We start from the raw sequence: 19,325 nt of genomic DNA on the forward strand, positions 1-19,325 counted from the left end.
AAAAAAAAAAAAATTAGGCTGGGTGAGCACCTAAGAGCACCTAAGTAAGTAAGCTCAGAACAGGGTGCGGTGGCTCATGCCTGTAATCCTAGCACTTTGGGAGGCTGAGGCGGGTGATCACTTGTGGCCAGGAGTTCAAGACCAGCCTGGCCAACATGGTGAAACCCCATCTATATTAAAAATACAAAAATTAGCTGGGCATGGTGGCAGGCACCTATAATGCCAGCTACTCGGGAGGCTGAGGCAGGAGAATCGCTTGAACCCAGAGGCAGAGGCTGCAGTGAGCCGAGATTGCACCACTCCACTCCAGCCTGGGTGACAGATTGAGACTCTGTTTCAAAAACAAAACAAAACAAAACAAAAAATTACACTCCTTTGTGTGACACAAGGGAATAAAGACAATAATTTCTTTTTGAGGTGAGAGATTGGGTTTCAGGTGGGCAGGGAAAGGAGATTTTTTCTTTTTCATGTTATACTCTCATTTTTATTTACTATGTATGTATGTATGTAGTCCAGGCTGGAGTGCGGTGGTGCCATCATGACTCACTGCAGGCCAGGTGCGGTGCCTCATGCCTGTAATCCCAGCACTTTGGGAGGCCGAGGTGGGTGGATTGCTTGAGATCAGGAGTTCAAGACCAACCTGGCCAACATGGTGAAACCTGTCTCTACAAAAAATACAAAACTTAGCTGGGTGTGGTGATGTATACCTGTAGTCCCAGCTATTCGGGAGGCTGAGGCAGGGGAATCGCTTGAACCCAGGAGGCAGAGGTTGCAGTGAGCCGAGATCACCCCACTGCACTCCACCCTGGGCAACAGAGCAAGACTCCATCTCACAAAACAACAACAACAACAACAAAAACCAAAAAACAAAACAAACAAAAAACCCCAAAACAAACAAACCAAAAAACCCAAACAAACAAACAAAACCTCACTGCAGTCTTGAACTCTTGGACTCAGGTGATCCTCCTGCCTCAGCCTCCTGAGTAGCTGGGACTACAGGCACATGCCATTACATCTGGCTAATTTTTTCTATTTTTTGCAGAGACAAGGTCTCACTCTGTTGCCCAGGCTGGTTTCAAACTCCTAGACTTAAGCAAACCTCCCACCTCAGCCTCCCAAAATGCTGGGGTTACAGGTGTGGGCCACCATGCCTGGCCAGTATTCTATCATTTTTAACACATCAATCTCAGAAACTGGTAAATCCATCAAACAAAAGCAAATTAATGATAAAGAGGACTGGAATAATTCAATAAGCTTGATCAGGCAAGTAGACAAATAGACTTTAACTCGTATTCCCAACAAGCAGAACGATGGTGCATCGTTAGATTCTTAACACTGAAAAGTCTCTCTCTCTTTTCTTTTTTTGAGACAGGGGTCTTACTCTGTCTCCCAGGCTGGAGTACAGTGGTGCGATCTTGGCTCACTGCAACCTCTGCCTCCTGGGTTCAAGCGATTCTCATGCCTCAGCCTCCCAAGTGGCTGGGATTACAGGTGCCCACCACCACACCCAGCTAATTTTTGTATTTTTAGTAGAGATGAGATTTCATCATGTTGGTCAGGTTGGTCTCGAACTCTTGACCTCTAGTGATTGGCCCACCTCAGCCTCCCAAAGTGCTGGGATTACAGGCGTGAGCCACCACGCTCGGCCTGAAAAGTTTTTCTTGATATTATTATCCCTCAAATTGTGTCGACTTTCCTGATTCAAATTTCAAACACATATAGACTTAGAGAATCAGGGAAAGTCTGGTAGTTCATTAAATGCAACTCTGAATTAATGGGCAATCAAGAACAGAAAAATAACTAGAGTTAGATAGCTTATTTGAGAACGTAGATATAAAAAACTCTTTCCTTAAATATTATTTTGGAATCCACTGGGATATTTCACAAAAATAATAATCAATTCTGATTGGGTAGGCTTTATCCTGTGATGATGAGGACAAAGCACTGAATAATTTTATAATCTTGAGTACTGCCTACTGACTTTAAGATAAGTGAATTAAGTCAGACACAGATAGAAAATGATGCATTGACCTCACTTCTGTGTGGAATCTAAAAAAAGTCATATAGACTGGATGTAGGCTATTGGTATTTTTTTTCAAGCAAACAAAACATTAAAACACATTCTAAGGCTGCACGCAGTGGCTCACACCTGTAATCCCAGCACTTTGGGAGGCTAACGTGGGTAGGTCACCTGAGGTCAGGCATTCAAGACCAGTCTGGCCAACATGGCGAAACCCTGTCTCTACTAAAAATACAAAAATTAGCTGGGTATGGTGGCACCCACCTGTAATCTCAGCTACTCAGGAGGCTGAGGCAGGAGAATCGCTTGAACCTGGGAGGCGGTGGTTGCAGTGAGCTGAGATCGTGCCATTGCACTCCAGCCTGGGCAACAGAGTGAGACTCCATCTCAAAACACAAAAGAAAACAAAACCAAAAAAATCCCCACATTCTAGGACACACATGATTACCACGTGGAAGCACAGAGCAGAAAAGATGAAATTTTAAAATAACAAATTTTTAGGGAAGCTATAAATAATATAGATATTGCACTCTATTTTTTTTTTTTAGAGATGGGGTCTCACTGTGTTGCCCAGACTTGGAGTGCAGTGGTGCAATCATACTGCAGCCTCAACCTCCTGGGCTCAAGGGATCTTCCTGCCTCCGCCTCCCTAGTAGCTGGGACTATAGGTGTGTGCCACCACATCCAGCTATTTTTTTCTTTTAGTAGAGATGGGGGTCTCATTATGTTGCCAAGGCTGGTCTCTAACTCCTGGCCTCAAGCGATCCTCCTACCGTGGTCTCCCAACATGCTGGGATTACAGGTTTGAGCTACTGTGCCTGGCCCATAGAACCATTTCTGACCCGTTTATGTCTTCTTGGTCTACTTCCCATTGTAGAGGACCCGTGAGATGGATAATATGCCACCCAGGGAACACTAATCTGGAAATTCTGGTGCATTTGAGTTTCAGAGAATGAAATAGTGGAAGAGAAACTTGCAACTGCCAGGGTTTCTTGGGGGCAGGGATGTGGGAATATAAAGGAACAGGATGGGTGTGATGGCTGGTATAGGAGTCAAGGGTGGGTGTGTACTGAGTGACAAAGGTGGGAGACCTTACACTGAAGTGGAATGTTGATTTTCCACCATGGCAATTTCTTTTTTCTTTTTTTGAGATGGAGTCTTGCTCTGTCGCCCAGGCTGGAGTGCAATGGCGCGATCTTAGCTCACTGCAACCTCCACCTCTCAGATTCAAGTGATTCTCCTGCCTCAGCCTCCCGAGTAGCTGGGATTACAGGCACCCACCACTAAACCCAGCTAATTTTTTTGTATTTTTAGTGGAGTTGGGTTTCATTATGTTGGTCAGGCTGTTCTTGAACTCCTGACTTCAGGTGATCCACCTGTCTTGGTCTCCCAAAGTGCTGGGATTACAGGTGTGAGCCACCGTGCCCAGCCTCCATGATGGCAATTTCTGTATCAGTGAAACAGGAGGATTCCCTGAGCTCCCTTGCAGGACATGTGACAGGGGTGTGGCTCATCTGTTTGGCTGCTGGGTGCACTCAAACCCCTTATGGGACGGGGAGCACACAGACAGGCAGGTGCAGGAGCCGGGGCCAGTGTCCCTGGGCTCTGGCCCCATGGCAGCATCCACAGGTGGGAGACTGCAACTCCCAAAGCCCAAGTGGCTGTGTGTTACAGTGTGCTCCTTAGCCTTGCTGTCTGTGGATGGCTCAAGTGTTAACCAGCTCAGTGCCCTCTTGGTACCCAAGTCCTTGTCCAGCATCCAGGAAGAATCAGGTCACACATAGACTTGAAGGATGAATGCCAGGGTTTTGTTGAATGGGGGAGGTGGTTCTCAGTGGGATGGATGGGGAGCTAGAAGGGGGATGGAGTGGGAAGATGATCTTCCCCTGGAGTTTGGCTGTCCAGTGGCTAGTCTCCTCTCTGACTGTCCCCAGTTGAACTCCTTTCGGCATTCAGATGCTCCTTCTCTTCTCTCTGCTGTGTCGTTCTGCCATTCTTCTGCTTGTGGAGCCTGGGGTTTGAGGTTTATATGGGTATAGGATAGGGGAGCATGGTGGGCCAAAAGGTGACTTTGGGGCATGAAAACAGGATTGTCTGTTCCCATTTAGGGCCACAGGTCTCCAGGCTTGAGGGTGGGGCCTTTGCTGGGGAACCTCCCTCTTCTACCCAGTATTTCCCTGTCTCCTGTCCATATCATCAGTAATGTAGTTTGGATATGTGTCCCCACCAAATCTGATGTTGAATTGTAATCCCCAGTGTTGGAGGTGGAGCCTGGTAGGCGGTGCTTGGGTCATAGGGGCAGATCCTTCATGGTTTGATGCTGCCTTTGCAACAGGGAGTCTGTACTTGTGAGATCTGGTTAAGTGTGTGGCACCTTTGCTCCCCCCAACTCTCCCTTGCTCCTGCTCTGGCCATGTGACATGCTGGCCCTCTCTTGTGACATGCTGGCCCTCCCTTGGCCTTCACCATGATTGGAAGCTTCCTGAGACCTCTCCAGAAGCTGATCAGATGCTGACATCATGCTTCCTGTACAGCCTGCAGAACTGTGAGCCAATTAAACCTCTTTTCTTTAAAAATTACCCAGTCTCAGGTATTTCTTTTTTCTTTGTTTTTTTTTTTTTTTTTTTTTTTTTTTTTTTTGAGACAGGATCTCACTCTGTCATTCAGGGTGGAGTGCAGTGGTACAATCACAGTTCACTGCAGCCTCAACCTCCCAGGCTCAGGTGATACTCCCACCTCTGCCTCCTGGGTAGCTGGGACTACAGGCACGCACCACCATGCCTGGCTATTTTTAAAAATCTTTGTAGAGACAGCATTTTGCCATGTTTCCCAGGCTGGTCTCGAGCTCTTGGACTCAAGCAACCTGCCTGCCTAGGCCTCCCATAGTGCTAGGATTACAGGCGTGAGCCACCGAGCCTGGCCAGGTATTTTTTTTTTTTCTCTTGTTCTTTTTTTGAGACAGAGTCTCGCTCTGTCACTCAGGCTGGAGTGCAGTGGCGTGATCTTGGCTCACTGCAACCTCTGCTTCCTGGGTTCAAGTGATTCTCCTGTCTCAGCCTCCCAAGTAGCTGGCATTACAGGCGTGGACCACCATGCCTGGCTAATTATTGTATTTTTAGTAGAGACAGGGTTTCACCAAGTTGGCCAGGCTCCGGTCTTGAACTCCTGACCTCAAGTGATCCACCCGCCTGGGCCTCCCAAAGTGCTGGGATTATAGGTGTGAGCCACTGCGCCCGGCCAGGTATTTCTTTATCACAGTGCAAGAACAGCCTAATACAATCATTTTCACCAATTCTGGTGTTCCCAAGGGATGACATGGTGCGAAACCACAACACACAACTGAGAGTTGCCTTTGGGACTTCACGAAGGTGGAAGACTGTTCTCTTAGTCCAACATGAACCAGTCAGGGGTCACGTCAAGGAAGGCTCAGAGACTGTGTCCGACCAATATGGTTTATTTCTGCCCCAGCCAAGCTTCTTTGGACCCTGGCTGGGGGAAAGGCACCCCAGGCACCGGCAAGTTCCAGTCATTGCAGATCCTCCAGGTCTAGGTGTGACTGGTAGTAGCCTGGGCACTGTTGCTGGACGTTGTATTCTCCTTCCTTCTTCCGCCGGCGGGTGGTCACCTATGAGGGTGAGGAGGAGGCGTGAGAATGGACTGGTCAGCCGTCCAGGGAGAGGAGACCACAGGGGTGAGAATATGGCCAAAGCCAGAGGCCTTATGCTTCCTCTGTCTCCCTTCATTGTTTCATTTAATTTCTCCCTCAGTTCTTTTCCTCTTTTCACCACTTTCTTTTCTTCTGTCTCCTTGTTTCACTCTCGGTTTAAAAAAATTTTTCCCCCTCCGATATCCCCTTCATTTCTCTCTCCTTTTGCCTCTGAATTTCTTTATCAATATATCACATATCTACCAATGATCTATTTATCTATCATCTAGCTATCAATATTTATCAACCTGTCAATCAATTATCTACCAATCAATAACCATCAATTATCTCTCACCTCTCAATCATCTCCTATTTATAATCCATCAATCATCTATCAATCACCTGTCATCCATCAATCATGTATTTATCATCTACTTATCAATATCTATCAACTATCTGTTACCTATCAATTTATTATCTACCAATTATCTATCAAAATAATCTATTTATCATCTACCTATCAGCTATCCACCAATCATCTGTCAACTATCAATCATCTATCGCCTGTCTTCTGTCTAAATACCATTTCTCTCTCATCTCATTCTCAGTCTCTTTCTCTCTGGCTTTTGGTCCTGATCTCAGCCCCCTCTCTCCCTCCCTTCCTCCTCTACATCTGTCCAGCTTAACTGAGGCATAACTGACATAAAATAAACTGCACACATTTAAAGTGAATGTTTTGATAAGTTCTGATCATAACTTATTGAATCGTCACCACAATCAACATAAGGAACATCCATCCATCATCCCCAAAACTTTCGTCCTGGCCAGGCATGGTGGCTCACTCCTGTAATCCCAGCACTTTGGGAGGCCAAGGCGGGTGGATCACCTGAGGTCAGGAGTTCGAGACCAGCCTGGCCAACATGGTAAAACCCCGTCTCTACTAAAAATACAAAAATTAGCTGAGTGTGGTGGTGCGCATGTGTAATCCCAGCTACTTGGGAGGCTGGGGCAGGAAAAACGCTTGAACCCGAGAGGCAGAGGTTGCAATGAGCTGAGATCGTGCCATTGCACTCCAGCTTGGGCGATAGACTAAGACTCTGTCTCAAGAAAAAACAAAAAAAAAACAACAAAAAAACTTTCTTCCTGCTCTTTTACAATTCCTTTTTCCCTGCCACTGCAAACACATTTTCATTCCCAGGCAACCGCTGATCTGATTCCTGTCCTTACAGATTAGTTTGTATTTTCTAGAATTTGTCTATTAAGGGAATCATATGGCATGTACTCTTTTCTTCATCTGGATTCTTTCACTAGGCATAACTATTTTGCAATTTATACATGTTGCTGTATAATTTATTAATGTATTAATAATTCCTTTTTGTTGCTGAATAATATTCCATTGTCAGGATATATTTGTTAATGGACATTAGGGTTGTTTTCAGAGTTTGGCTATTACAAACAAAGCTGTTATGAACATTTACTTGTGTACAAGTCTTCATATAGACATATGTTTTTATTTCTCTTAGATAAATTACTAGTAGTGGGATGGTAGGGTCTTACGGTAGGTGTGTGTAATTTTCAAAGAAATGGCCAAGCTATTTTCCACTTTCACTTTATGAGAGTTCCAGTTCTGTCACATTTTCACCAACACTTGTTATAGTCAATCTTTTCAATTTTATCCATTCTTGTGAAAAGTGGCCTCTCATTGTGACTTCCGTGTACATTTCCCTAACGACTAATTTTGTTACATTTTTCCCTCTTACATTATTTTATTTACACTCTTTGCAATCACTTTTTCTCTCAATATCTTGTAATCAGCATATAGGTTGTGAAGTTTTTGAGATCTGCATAACATAGTAACTATAGTTAATAATAATGTAGATTTCAAAATTGCTAAGAGTATAGGTTGCCAATGTTCACACCACAAAGAAATAATAAGTATGAGAGGTGAGGGACATATTAATTAGCTTGATTGAGTCATTCCATAATTGTACATATACCAAAGCATCACATTGTATCCCCTAAATATATGCATTCATTATTTGTCAATTAATTAAAAATAAAATTATAAAAAGAAAATAGGAAAGCCACTCCGTGAACTGGGAGAAAATATTTGCAAAACATATATCCAGCAAAGGACTTGTGTATAGTATAGTATGGTTTTATAATATATTAAGAACTCTTACAACCCAATTGTTAAGAAGACAAGCAACCCTTCCTTGCTCACCAGGACACCGCAGATCAGGCATGTGATGACTCCCAGGAGTCCTGCCAAGCCGATGAGGATGACAGCCCAGAAGGGAAGGTCTGGGGAGACAAGGGCTGGGGTGAGCCACCTCCTGCCACGTCCCAGGGCTCCTTCTTGGACCCTATGTGGCCTGAGGATGGGCACAGCCCTGGGGAAGAGAGCTTAGTGGCTCAACACCTCATGCCTCTGATGCCCCCAAAAACTGGGCCCCCAGAAAGCCAGGATCCCTGCTATCCCTTTACTATGCCTCAATAGTCTTTGCCATGGGTTGGCAATTTTGATCCTCATCCAAGACTCTGTGTGCCTGGTGCTCTTGGACAAGGCAAAGCACCATCAGGCTACCCCCTCCCTACCCTGGGCTGGGGCTTCTTTGAGACTTACCAGAATTCCCAGTTAAGGGCTCATTTCTGTTGGGAGAATACCCTAGAAATGAAAGAAATGGAGGGTGCATGTGAGTGTGTCTTTTTTTTTTTTTTTTTCTGGAGATGGAGTCTTGCTCTGTTGCCCAGGCTAGAGTGCAGTGGCGTGATCTTGGCTCACTGCAACCTCTGCTTCCCGGGTTCAAGCAATTCTCCTGCTTCAGCCTCCCAAGTAGCTGAGATTACAGGTGCCCGCCAAAATGCCTGGCTAATTTTTGTATGTAGTGATGGAGTTTTACCATGTTGGCCAGGCTGGTCTTGAACTCCTGACCTCATGATCCACCCACCTCGGTCTCCCAAAGTGCTGGGATTACAGGCGTGAGCCACCGCGCCCGGCCAAGTGTGTCTTATTCTTTTAAATACAATTTTACAAGCGTACAAAAAAGCAGAGAGAAGAGTATAATAAATATGCATCACCTAGATTTAGTGGTTTATATTTCCTCCAACTAAAACATATACATCCAATTTATGATTTATTGACATTTCAGTGAAAGTAAATGTTTTCACTGAAGTTTTAGAGGCCAGTAGACACCATGACATCTCACCCCAAATATTTCAATTTGTATCTCTAAAAAAATGACACATGGCTACATAAGCCCAAAGCCATTATTCCACCACAAGAGTGTCATAAGTTAAATTCATGCCTCTGGGCATGGTGGACCTAAATTGGGCTGGGCCCAAGGGCAGTGGTGGAGAGAATGGATCATCGCAGTTGGAAACTGATGGGACCTCTCTAAGTTTTAAAATTTTCACCCAAAAGGTTTTTCTTCTGCCTAAAAACACATTTAAGCTCTCCTTCACTTGGTGGTTTTATCGTCATCTTTTAGAATTCACCTTCAATGTCATTTCCTCCAGGAAGCCTTCCCTGATGACCACACCCATGTATGAATAGGTTCACATCAAATAATTTATAATTGACAACTGCCTGTTCTTGTTATTCCTCACGACAGCATAAACTCCATGAAGACAGGGATGTAAAGCCATCATCAGGCATGGCGAGAAGGGTTACTGGTTCCTCTACTTCTACAACCCTGTTATAGCCAACTTTTTTTTTTTCTCAAGATAGAGTCTCACTCTGTCACCCAGGCTGGAGTGCAATGATGTGATCTCGTCTCACTGCAACCTCCGCCTCCTGGGTTCAAGTGATTCTCCTGCCTCAGCTTCCTGAGTAGCTGGGATTACAGGCGCACCACCATGCCTGGGTAATTTTTTGTATTTTTAGTAGAGGCAGGGTTTTACCATGTTGGCCAGGCTGGTTTTTAACTCCTGACCTCGTGATCCGCCTGCCTCGGCCTCCCAAAGTGCTGGGATTACAGGTGTGAGCCACTGCGCCCAGCCCATAGCCAGCTTCTTAAAGATGTAGAAGACATACCAATGGCTAACAAGCATATGAAAAAATGCTCGACATTACTAATAATCAGAGAAATACAGATTAAAACCATGATGAGATACCACCTTACGCCAGTCAGAATGGCTGTTACTAAAAAGACAAAAAATAACAGATGTTAAAAAGGATGCAAGAAAAGTGAACCGTTACACACTGTTGGTGGGAATGTAATTTAGTATAATCTCTATGAAAAACGTGGAGATTTCTCAAATAACTAAAAATGAAACTACCATTTGATCCAGGAATCCCACGACTGGGTATCTACACAAAGGAAAATAAATAATTTTGTCAAAAAGACACCTGAACCTGTGTGTTTATCACAAAACTATTCACAATAGCAAAGATATGGAATCAACCTAAGTGCCCATCAATGGAGGACTGTATAAAGAAAATGTGATCTCTCTCTCTCTCTACACACACACACACACACACACACACAATGCAATACCACCCAGGCATAAAAAAGAATGAAATCATGTCTTTTGCAGCAACATGGATGCAAGTGAAGGTCATTATCTTAAGTCAAACAACTCAGATACAGGAAGTCAAATAGCACATGTATTTGACTAAATAATGCATAGACATGTCAATGCTAAATAATGCATAGGCATGGACATAGAGAGTGGAATAATAGACAGTGGAAACTTGGAAGGGTTGGGGAGTGGAGGAGAGTGGATGATGAGAAATTACTCAATGGGTACAATGTACATTATTCAGGTAATAGATACCCTAAAAGCCCAGACTTCCCCACTGGGCTATAAATCCATGCAACAAAATTGTACTTGTGCCCCTTAAATATATACAAATAATAATTTTAAAAAGTAGTGTGCAATATGGAGCAGCCACAAGTGGCTTTTTAAATTAAAATTAAATAAAATTAAAACTTCGGTATCTCAGTTACATTAACCACACTTCAAGCTTAGTAATCACACATGGCTTTGTGCTGAATAGCACAGATAGAAACATTTTCTATCACTGCAGAAAGTTCTATTGGATGGTACTGATTCAAGGCAAGGTTTGGCAAACTACAGCGATGCTGGGTCCATGGCCTGTTTTTAGAAAGCTTGTGAGCTGACAACAATTTTAATTAAAAAAAAAATTGGGGCTGGGTGTGGTGGCTCACGCCTGTAATCCCAGCACTTTGGGAGGCCCAGGTGGGCAGATCACGAGGTCAGGAGATCGAGACCATCCTGGTCAACATGGTGAAACCCTGTTTCTACTAAAAATACAAAAAAAATTAGCCAGACATGGTGGCAGGCGCCTGTAGTCCCAGCTACTCAGGAGGCTGAGGCAGGAAAATGGCATGAACCCAGGAGGCGGAGCTTGCAGTGGGCGGAGATCGTGCCACTGCACTCCAGCCTGGGTGACAGAGCGAGACTCTGTCTCAAAAAAAAAGAAAAAATAAAAACAAATAAAAAACAAAAACAAAACAAAACAATAACAACAAACAAACAACAAACAAAATTGGTAAAACAAGAAAAAGAAAAACCTGTGACAGGCATGTGAAAGGCTTGTTGATTCTGAAGGATCAACAGTGCTCTCTTGCACAACAATAATTCGGAATCAAGGACAGTGCACACAGGCATTGGAAGGTCCCGTCTAAAACGTTATTCGCATTTGACTTGAAAAGAACCTTGTATGAAATCTAGTTATTCCTTCTGCAAATATGACTTGAGTGTTTATTATGTGCCAGGCAGAATATGGGGTTCTTGGAATATAGTGGTGAAAGAGCAAACAGTTACTCTCTGTTATATTCCTGATACATGGTACAATGTATATAACTATTCTTTGAATGGGTAAAATTGGATATGCAAAGTTGAGCCACCTTGAAGCCATCTCTGGAGTTGGAAAATAGGTCCATCCTACCACATTTGTTGAGGATGAATCACATACAACTTGAAACTGGAAGCCCTCATTGACCTGCTGAGGCAGGAGGATCACTTGTGGCCAGGAATTAGAGACCAGTCTGGGCAACATAGTGAGACCCTGTCTCTACAAAAAATTTAGAAATTAGCAAGGCGTGGTGACACGTGCCTGTAGTTCCAGGTACTCAGGAGGCTGAGGTGGGAGGATCGCTTGAGCCCAGGAGTTCAAGACTGCAGTGAGCTATGATTGCACCACTGTACTCCATTCTGGTTAACAGAGCGAGACCCTGCCTCTAAAAGAAAAAAACAAACACAAAAAACCAGAACCAGCTGCAGTGGTGCCTGCCTGCCTGTAATCCCAGCACTTTGGGAGGCTGAAGCAGGTGGCATGCTTGAGCTCAGGAGTTCAAGACCAGCCTGGGCAATGTTGCAAAACCCCATCTCTAGAAAAAATACAAAAATTATCCGGGTGTGGTGGCGCATGGCTGTAGTCCCAGTTACTTGGGAGGCTGAAGTGGGTGGATTGCTTGAGTCCAGGGGTTGAGGTTGCAGTGAGCTGAGATCATGTCACTGCACTCCAGCCTAGGTGACAGAGTGAGACCCTGTCTCAAAAACAAACAAACAACACAACAACAATAACTAATCAGGGTAATTGTTTAACACTGCAGCTGCCTGGGGGTGGAGGAGCAATACCATCTAGGGCAGGCAAGATGGGAACCAAAAACCAAGTGGCTTGCTAAGTACAGAGAGATAAGAAGTCCAGAAAGGAGATGTGACTAGCCTGAGGTCACAGAGCTGGCCAGAAGAGGGCAAATGCCTCCCATATCCCTCGGGCGTCCTTTTCTTTCCTTCAATGATGGGTAAAGCTTAGGAGAACTAAGCCACTTTCTCCCAGTCTGAGAAAGCTCGATGACGAATCAACCCCAAGCCTTCAGATTCCCAGGGAAGGACCCAGGTGAGGAAGTGGGAGCTTCCACCTCAGTCCCAATGACCCAGGGAGCTTTACCATCCACAAGGACACTGCTCCTGTCCAGGGTGAAGTTCTGCAGCTGGGTACCATTCCGGGTCATCCGCAGAAATTCCTCATAGATGGCAACTCTGTCTACTCTCCGAGCCAGTGGCGAGAAGTTACACAGGGAGTCCACCCCGGTGTGGTGCCTGTTGGGGACAGACCTGGAAGGGGACAGGGATAAGCAAAGATATCTGCAATTTTATCATGATTCTAGGCTTTCTCCTTCTAGGCTCTTCCTGCAGAAACTTTCTGCAATGATGTAAACATTCTATGTCGGCCGGGCACAGTGGCTCACGCCTGTAATCCCAGCACTTTGGGAGGCCCAGGCAGGCGGATCATGAGGTCAGATCGAGACCATCCATACAAATCACGAGGTCAGGAGATTGAGACCATCCATACAAATATTAGCTGGGTGTGGTGGCACGTGCCTGTAATCCCAGCTACTTGGGAGGCTGAGGCAGGAGAATCACTTGAATCGGGGAGTAGAGATTGCAGTGAGACGAGATCACGCCACTGCACTCTAGCCTGGTGACAGAGCGAGACTCCATCTCAAAAACAAAACAAAAAACAAAAAAAAAATTCTACATCTGCACTACACAATGCAGCCATTAGTAGCTTCATGTTGTTATTAAATGCTTAAAATGCAGCTAGCGTGGGAGAAGAACTGAATTTCTAATTTTATTCCACTTAATTCATTTAAAAATAGCCACAGGGAGGTCAGGCACAGTGGCTCATGCCTGTTATCCCAGCACTTTGGGAGGCCAAGGCGGGTGGATCACTTGAGATCAGGAGTTCGAGACCAGCCTGGCCAACACAGTGAAACCCCATCTCTACTAAAAACACAAAAATTAGCCGGTGTGGTGGTGCACATCCATAATCCCAGCTACTTGGGAGGCTGAGGCAGGAGAATCGCTTGAACCTGGGAAGCGGAGGTTGCAGTGAGCTGAGATTGCGCCACTGCACTCCAGCCTGGGCAACAGAGGGAGACTCCGTCTCAAATAAATAAATAAATAAATAAATAAATAAATAAATAAAGTAATAGCCACAGGGAGAACATTTCTGGAATGTTGGGGTAACAACTTCTGAATACCCATAAAATCAATGAGAACATTGGCCAAAATAGTCCAAATCAATTTTTCCAGAAGTCTAGAAGTGAACCAAAGGCTTGCAAAAATTCGAGGGGTGTTTAGTTAAGGAAAGTGTTAAATCTCAGTAAAAAGAGCAAGCTTTGTGGCATTTTAACTTGCATTATTTCCACAGTGCTCTTTCAAGATCCTCAGTATTTTATTATTATTATTATTTGTTTTTTTTTTTTTGAGACAGGCTTTGGCTCTGTTGCCCAGGCTAGAGTGCATGGCACAATGTCAGCTCACTGCAACCTCTGCCTCCTGGGCTCAAGCCATCCTCCCACCTCAGCCTCCTAAGTAACTGGGACTACAGCACATGCCACTATGCTCAGCTGATTTTTGTATTTTTTGTAGAGATGGGTTTTCACCATATTGCCCAGGCTGGTCTCAAACTCCTGAGCTCAAGCGATCTACCCACCTTGGCCTCCCAAAGGGCTGGGATTACAGTCGCAAGCCACTGCATCCAGCAAGATCCTCGGTAACTTTGAAAACTGGCAGCCTCAGAATCATGATATCTGTGAAAACCAGCTGCCTAGCAGTCAAAATAGCTGTAGAGTTCTCCAGACATCAATCTGCAGAACATAGTCACTATTTGATCTGTTTGGCAGCTCCTTGAAAAAGCCCTATTCTCAGGGCTTATCTTTATTTGTTCTGATTCAGAATTTGTTTAGTGAGGAAAGCCTGTTCTCAAGGCAGTTGTCAAAAAAAAAAAATCATTGGTACCCCCCACCATTGGAAATGATACCTCTCATTGAAAAGCACAGTTAGGCTGCTAGATTCTAAGTAATCTGGTTTTAGTCCCCTCCTTCCCCCGTCTTCCATGGGTCCTGATTTCAGTAGCTGATGTCTTAATGTAGTAGATTCTACACTCTAGACTCCATGGCCTCAGCACCAGGTACCTTTATGTCTGCTGAGATTTACACCAGCTCTCTTGAGTGTTGAAGCCAGTTGGGCTCCAGCTTTAGGAAAAAGCTAGTTTTTAGTTAACAGCTCTCTATTTCTAGGGCTCTCTTCCATCAAAGCTATGGCTTGGGGACACTTCTATTTAAAGGACAGCAGAAGTTCCTAGAGTCATTAGGTCCTGAGTTAGAACTTACCTGAATGTTGAAACTTGACAGTCAGAAAAATAACTCTTGATGCTGCTGTTTCGGAAGAGTTGGTTGAGCTGAAAGACAGGGCGATGTTTCTTAGGTCAGAATCCTGGCCCCAGTAGCATCAGAGAATTTTCAGCCACTGAGCACACTTCTCCGTCTATTTTGCTTCTTGTCATGACAACCACTTGCCCAGGTATGTATATCAAAGGACATGCTCTTCTAGGGTATGACTTAGCTGTGTGACCTTGGGTCAGCTACTGAACCTCTCTGTGCTTGTGTATTAAATGGGAATAAGAACCTGTCTTTGTGGATTGTTATAAAAAGTCACCCTGTGGCTACCCAGTATGCATAAGTCAGTTTCTGCATGGCAACAGAGTGGACATACCACCCCCTTCTCACCGCATCCTCAATATTCCTTTTGTTCCTCTGGTAATTGGTGGTGCCTGGCTGGGCTTTGTCCTGGGAATATGGTAGGTTGGTGATGGTGAAATTCAGGTAGAAGTGCTGGGTGCTGGAGCTGCTTGTTGGTTGATAAACTGATGACTCCATTTCTAGAATTAAAAAAAAAGTATGTAAAAATCCACTATCAAGGCAGGGTTTTAAGAAAGAGATGATTCCAGCTAGCTTACTTATTCCTGACAGTGTGAGCTGAGCTAGGCTTTTCTTTTTTTCTTTTCTTTTTTTTTTTTTTTTTTTTTGGCAGGGGGGTCATTTGTTTTGTTTTTTGAGACAGTTTCACTCTCTTTGCCCAGGCTGGAGTGTAATGGCGTGATCTTGGCTCACCACAACCTCCACCTCCTGGGTGCAAGCCATTCTCCTGCCTCAGCCTCCCGAGTAGCGGGATTACAGGCATGCGCCACCCTGCCTGGCTAACTTTTTTTTTTTTTTGTATTTTTAATAGAGACAGGGTTTCTCCATGTTGGTCAGACTGGTCTCGAACCCCCGACCTCAGGTGATCCACCCGCCTTGGCCTCCCAAAGTGCTGGGATTACAGGTGTGAGCCACCGCGCCTGGCTGAGCTAGGATTTTAAAGGTGGGATGGAGGGTTTTAGGTAACAGCTCTATATTGGATGGAGGATCTTCCTCCATCCATCTGTCCAGCTTGTATCCATCCACCCATCTACCTGTTCAATTCTCTTTCTACCAAGCATTGTAAGAATTCTCTACAACATGGGGGAAAAGAGACTGGGTTTCTCTGGGGGTGTAGTCAGCAATTGCAGGTGCTGAGAAACCCAGAGTCTTCTAACTAATGATCATTGTTCCTAAAGGGTCTTCTTGCCTTTGCTCTTCTCTCCCCCCACCCTCCATTCTGCACACAGCACCCAGAGGATGAGCAGAATTCATTTCATTTTCTTTCTAAAGCAGAACTCATGAGTGTGTCATGTTCCTCCCCAAGCCATTCCAGTGCCCAACAAAGTCTCTGCCCACATCTTTGGCTTCAACTGTCACCTCTCCAGTATCAAAGTGGATGCTCCAGCTACACCAATCTTCTTAAACTTGCCCCAAAATGCCACTTTTTTTTTTTTTGAAATGCAGTTTTGCTCTTTTTGCCCAGGCTTGAGTGCAATGGCACAATCTCGGCTCACTGCAACCTCCGCCTCCCGAGTTCAAGCAGTTCTCCTCTCTCAGCCTCCCAAGTGGCTGGGATTACAGGCACGCACCACCATGCCTGGCTAATTTTTGTATTTTTAGCAGAGATGGGGTTTCATCATATTGGTCAGGCTGGTCTTGAACTCCTGACCTCAGGTGATCCACCCATCTCAGCCTCTGAAAGTGCTGGGACTACAGGCGTGAGCCACCGCACCCGGCCAGATGCCATATTCTTTCTATCTTCTAGGTTATAGATGCATGGAGCACAATTCTCCATCTATTACCCCTGGCTAGGTCCCATTCTCTGTCAGATCTCAGCTTCTTCACCCCTTCCTACATAAAACTTTCCAAGACAAGGTTGTGTGTTCCTCCTTGGGGCTCCCACAGGCCCCTGAAATTCCCTTATCATAGCAATGATCACACTGTGTTATCAGTACGTGTTTACTTCCATTGTTTATTTATTTTTTATTTTTATTTATTTATTTATTTTTGAGACAGAGTCTCCATCTGTCGCCCAGGCTGGAGTGCAGTGGCGCGATCTCGGCTCACTGCAAGCTCTGCCTCCCGGGTTCACGCCATTCTCCTGCCTCAGCCTCCCGAGTAGCTGCGACTACAGGTGGCCACCACCATGCCTGGCTAATTTTTTTTGTATTTTTAGTAGAGACAGGGTTTCACCGTGTTAGCCAGGATGGTCTCAATCTCCTGACCTCGTGATCTGCCTGCCTGGGCCTCCCAAAGTACTGGTATTACAGGCGTGAGCCACCATGCCCGGCCTACTTCCATTGTTTATTGAATGAATGAATTATTCATTTACTGATTCATTCATTTAATTGATCATTTTAATTGATCAATTAATCAATTAAATCAATTCTCAATTACATCAATTAATCAATTATGTACTGAATCATTTATTATTCATTAATTAAATGAATGAATCAATAAATTGATTCAAAATAAATGATCTATTGATTCATTCATTCAACACAATTCTTTTTACATGTAAAAATAGCTATTCTCTTAGATGCAATGGCTGGTGTTCTGTTCCTGCCTCGTTGGATGATCTACTGCCAGAGGTCACCTACATGGGTCTCCAGAAAGCCTCCCTTTCCCTCTCTAGAGCCTCCACCAATTCCACTGGTACCGAGAAGCCCCATCTTTCCTCATAACCCCACCTCTTCCAGTTAGGAAACCAGCCACCCCACCTTGTACCTGTCACATGGATGTCCACCAACTGGTAGGTGGAGCCCAGCCAATGGAATGAGGCATTCAGGGTCTTATCTAGAAAGACTTGCTCCACCAGGCTGGGGTCCAAATTGGAGGAGAACAATGCCTTGACAGTGACCAACACGGAGTCCATCCTAGGGACAGAGACCACAGGAATTCAGCCAGTACTCAGCATCAGCAGGGTCATCGGTTGCTGTCTTTAAAGAGCAAAAGATCTAGAGGCACCCACCCTCAGTCTAGAGAAGGGTTCTGATCAAAATGGGAGGCCTTCGGCTGGATGCAGTGGCCCAAGCCTGTAATCTCAGCACTTTGGGAGGCCGAGGCAGGCAAATTGCCTGAGGTCAGGAGTTCGAGACCAGCCTGACCAACATGGCAAAACCCTGTCTCTAATAAAAATACAAAACTTCACCGGGTGTGGTGGCGCATGCCTGTAGTCCCTGCTACATGGGGGGCTGAGGCAGGAGAATTGCTTGAACCCAGGAGGCAGTTGTAGTGAGCCGAGATCATACCACTGCACTCCAGCCTGAGCAACAGAGCATGACTCCATCTCAAAAAAAAAAAAAAAAAAAATGCTTCCAGGAATTACGTCTAGAAGCAATAACAGTAACAATAATCGATATTTATTGAACACTTTTTATAGATCAAGACCACTAAGAAGTGACTTATGCATTCTTCATCATCACTCTGGTGGAAGGTATTGTTAAAATTATCCCAATTTCTCCCACATTTTCCCTCTTGATTTCTACTTTTTATTATTTTATTTTATTTTTTGAGATAGAGTCTCGCTCTGTCACCCAGGCTGGAGTACAGCCTCCTAGGCTCAGGCGATCCTCCCACCTCAGCTTCCTGAGTGGCTGGGACTACAGGTGTGTGCCACCATGCCTGGCTAATTTTTGTATTTTTTGTAGAGACTAGGACTCCCTATGTTGCCCTCGCTGGTCTTGAACTTCTGGGCTCAAGAGATCCACCTGCCCTGGCCTCCCAAAGTGCTGGGATTACAGGCATGAGCCACTGTGCCCAGCCTACTTTTGATTTTATTTGTTTTTAATTTTTTGGGGTACATAGTAGGTGTTTTTATATTTATGGGGTATATGAGATGTTTTGATACAAGCATGTAATGCATAATAATCATCAGGGTAAATGGGGTATCCATCCCCTCAAGCATATATCCTTTGTGTTGCAAACAATCCAAGCATACACCTTTAGTTATATTTTAAAATGTACAGTGAAGTTATTTTTGACTACAGTCACCCTGTTGTGCTAGCAAATACTAGGTCTTATTCATTCTTTGCATTTTTTTGTTCCAATTAACCTTCTCCATATTCCCAGCTGAAATACAAAAATCTTTGAAGTTTAGAAATATACAAAGTCAGCCCTGTGTCCTGTGACCCTCCTCTTCCCAAGTATAGGTATCTTCATTCCTTCATCCAGTCATCAGAGACCTGGGTTCAAATCCCAACTTTGACAGTTCTTGGGAAGTTCACTTTTCTGACCCTCAGTTTTCCCATCTGCACAATAGGGATGATTTTTGCACTCAACTCATAGATTCTGTTGTGAGAATTAAATGAGAGGAGGCTGGTTGATGTTAAATATTATTATTGGGCTAATATTTTGAGTTCTACATCAAAAAGTTATATTTTCCCAAGTGTCCAGAAAAAAAAGAAGGTGTATGCTGGGAGTTGGTGGCCCCATGAGG

The 19,325-nt window shown here is 44.6% G+C and overlaps 1 protein-coding gene across 4 annotated transcripts in view; it reads right to left on the minus strand.

Annotated features, from left to right (window-relative positions):
- MUC16 (mucin 16, cell surface associated) overlaps window positions 5,459–19,325 on the minus strand; it is a gene marked incomplete in the record, with an annotated part of 216,908 nt that continues 203,041 nt past the window's right edge. For all 4 annotated transcript variants that reach the window (NM_001414686.1, NM_001401501.2, NM_001414687.1 and 1 more), the window contains 7 exon segments: window positions 5,459–5,645; window positions 7,891–7,970; window positions 8,293–8,334; window positions 12,589–12,755; window positions 14,819–14,886; window positions 15,215–15,366; window positions 17,615–17,763. In NM_001414686.1, the coding sequence (NP_001401615.1) occupies window positions 5,547–5,645; window positions 7,891–7,970; window positions 8,293–8,334; window positions 12,589–12,755; window positions 14,819–14,886; window positions 15,215–15,366; window positions 17,615–17,763 (757 nt within the window).

The sequence above is a fragment of the Homo sapiens genome, chromosome 19 (assembly GCF_000001405.40).
Source record: "Homo sapiens chromosome 19, GRCh38.p14 Primary Assembly".
NCBI classification, from domain to species: domain Eukaryota; kingdom Metazoa; phylum Chordata; class Mammalia; order Primates; family Hominidae; genus Homo; species Homo sapiens.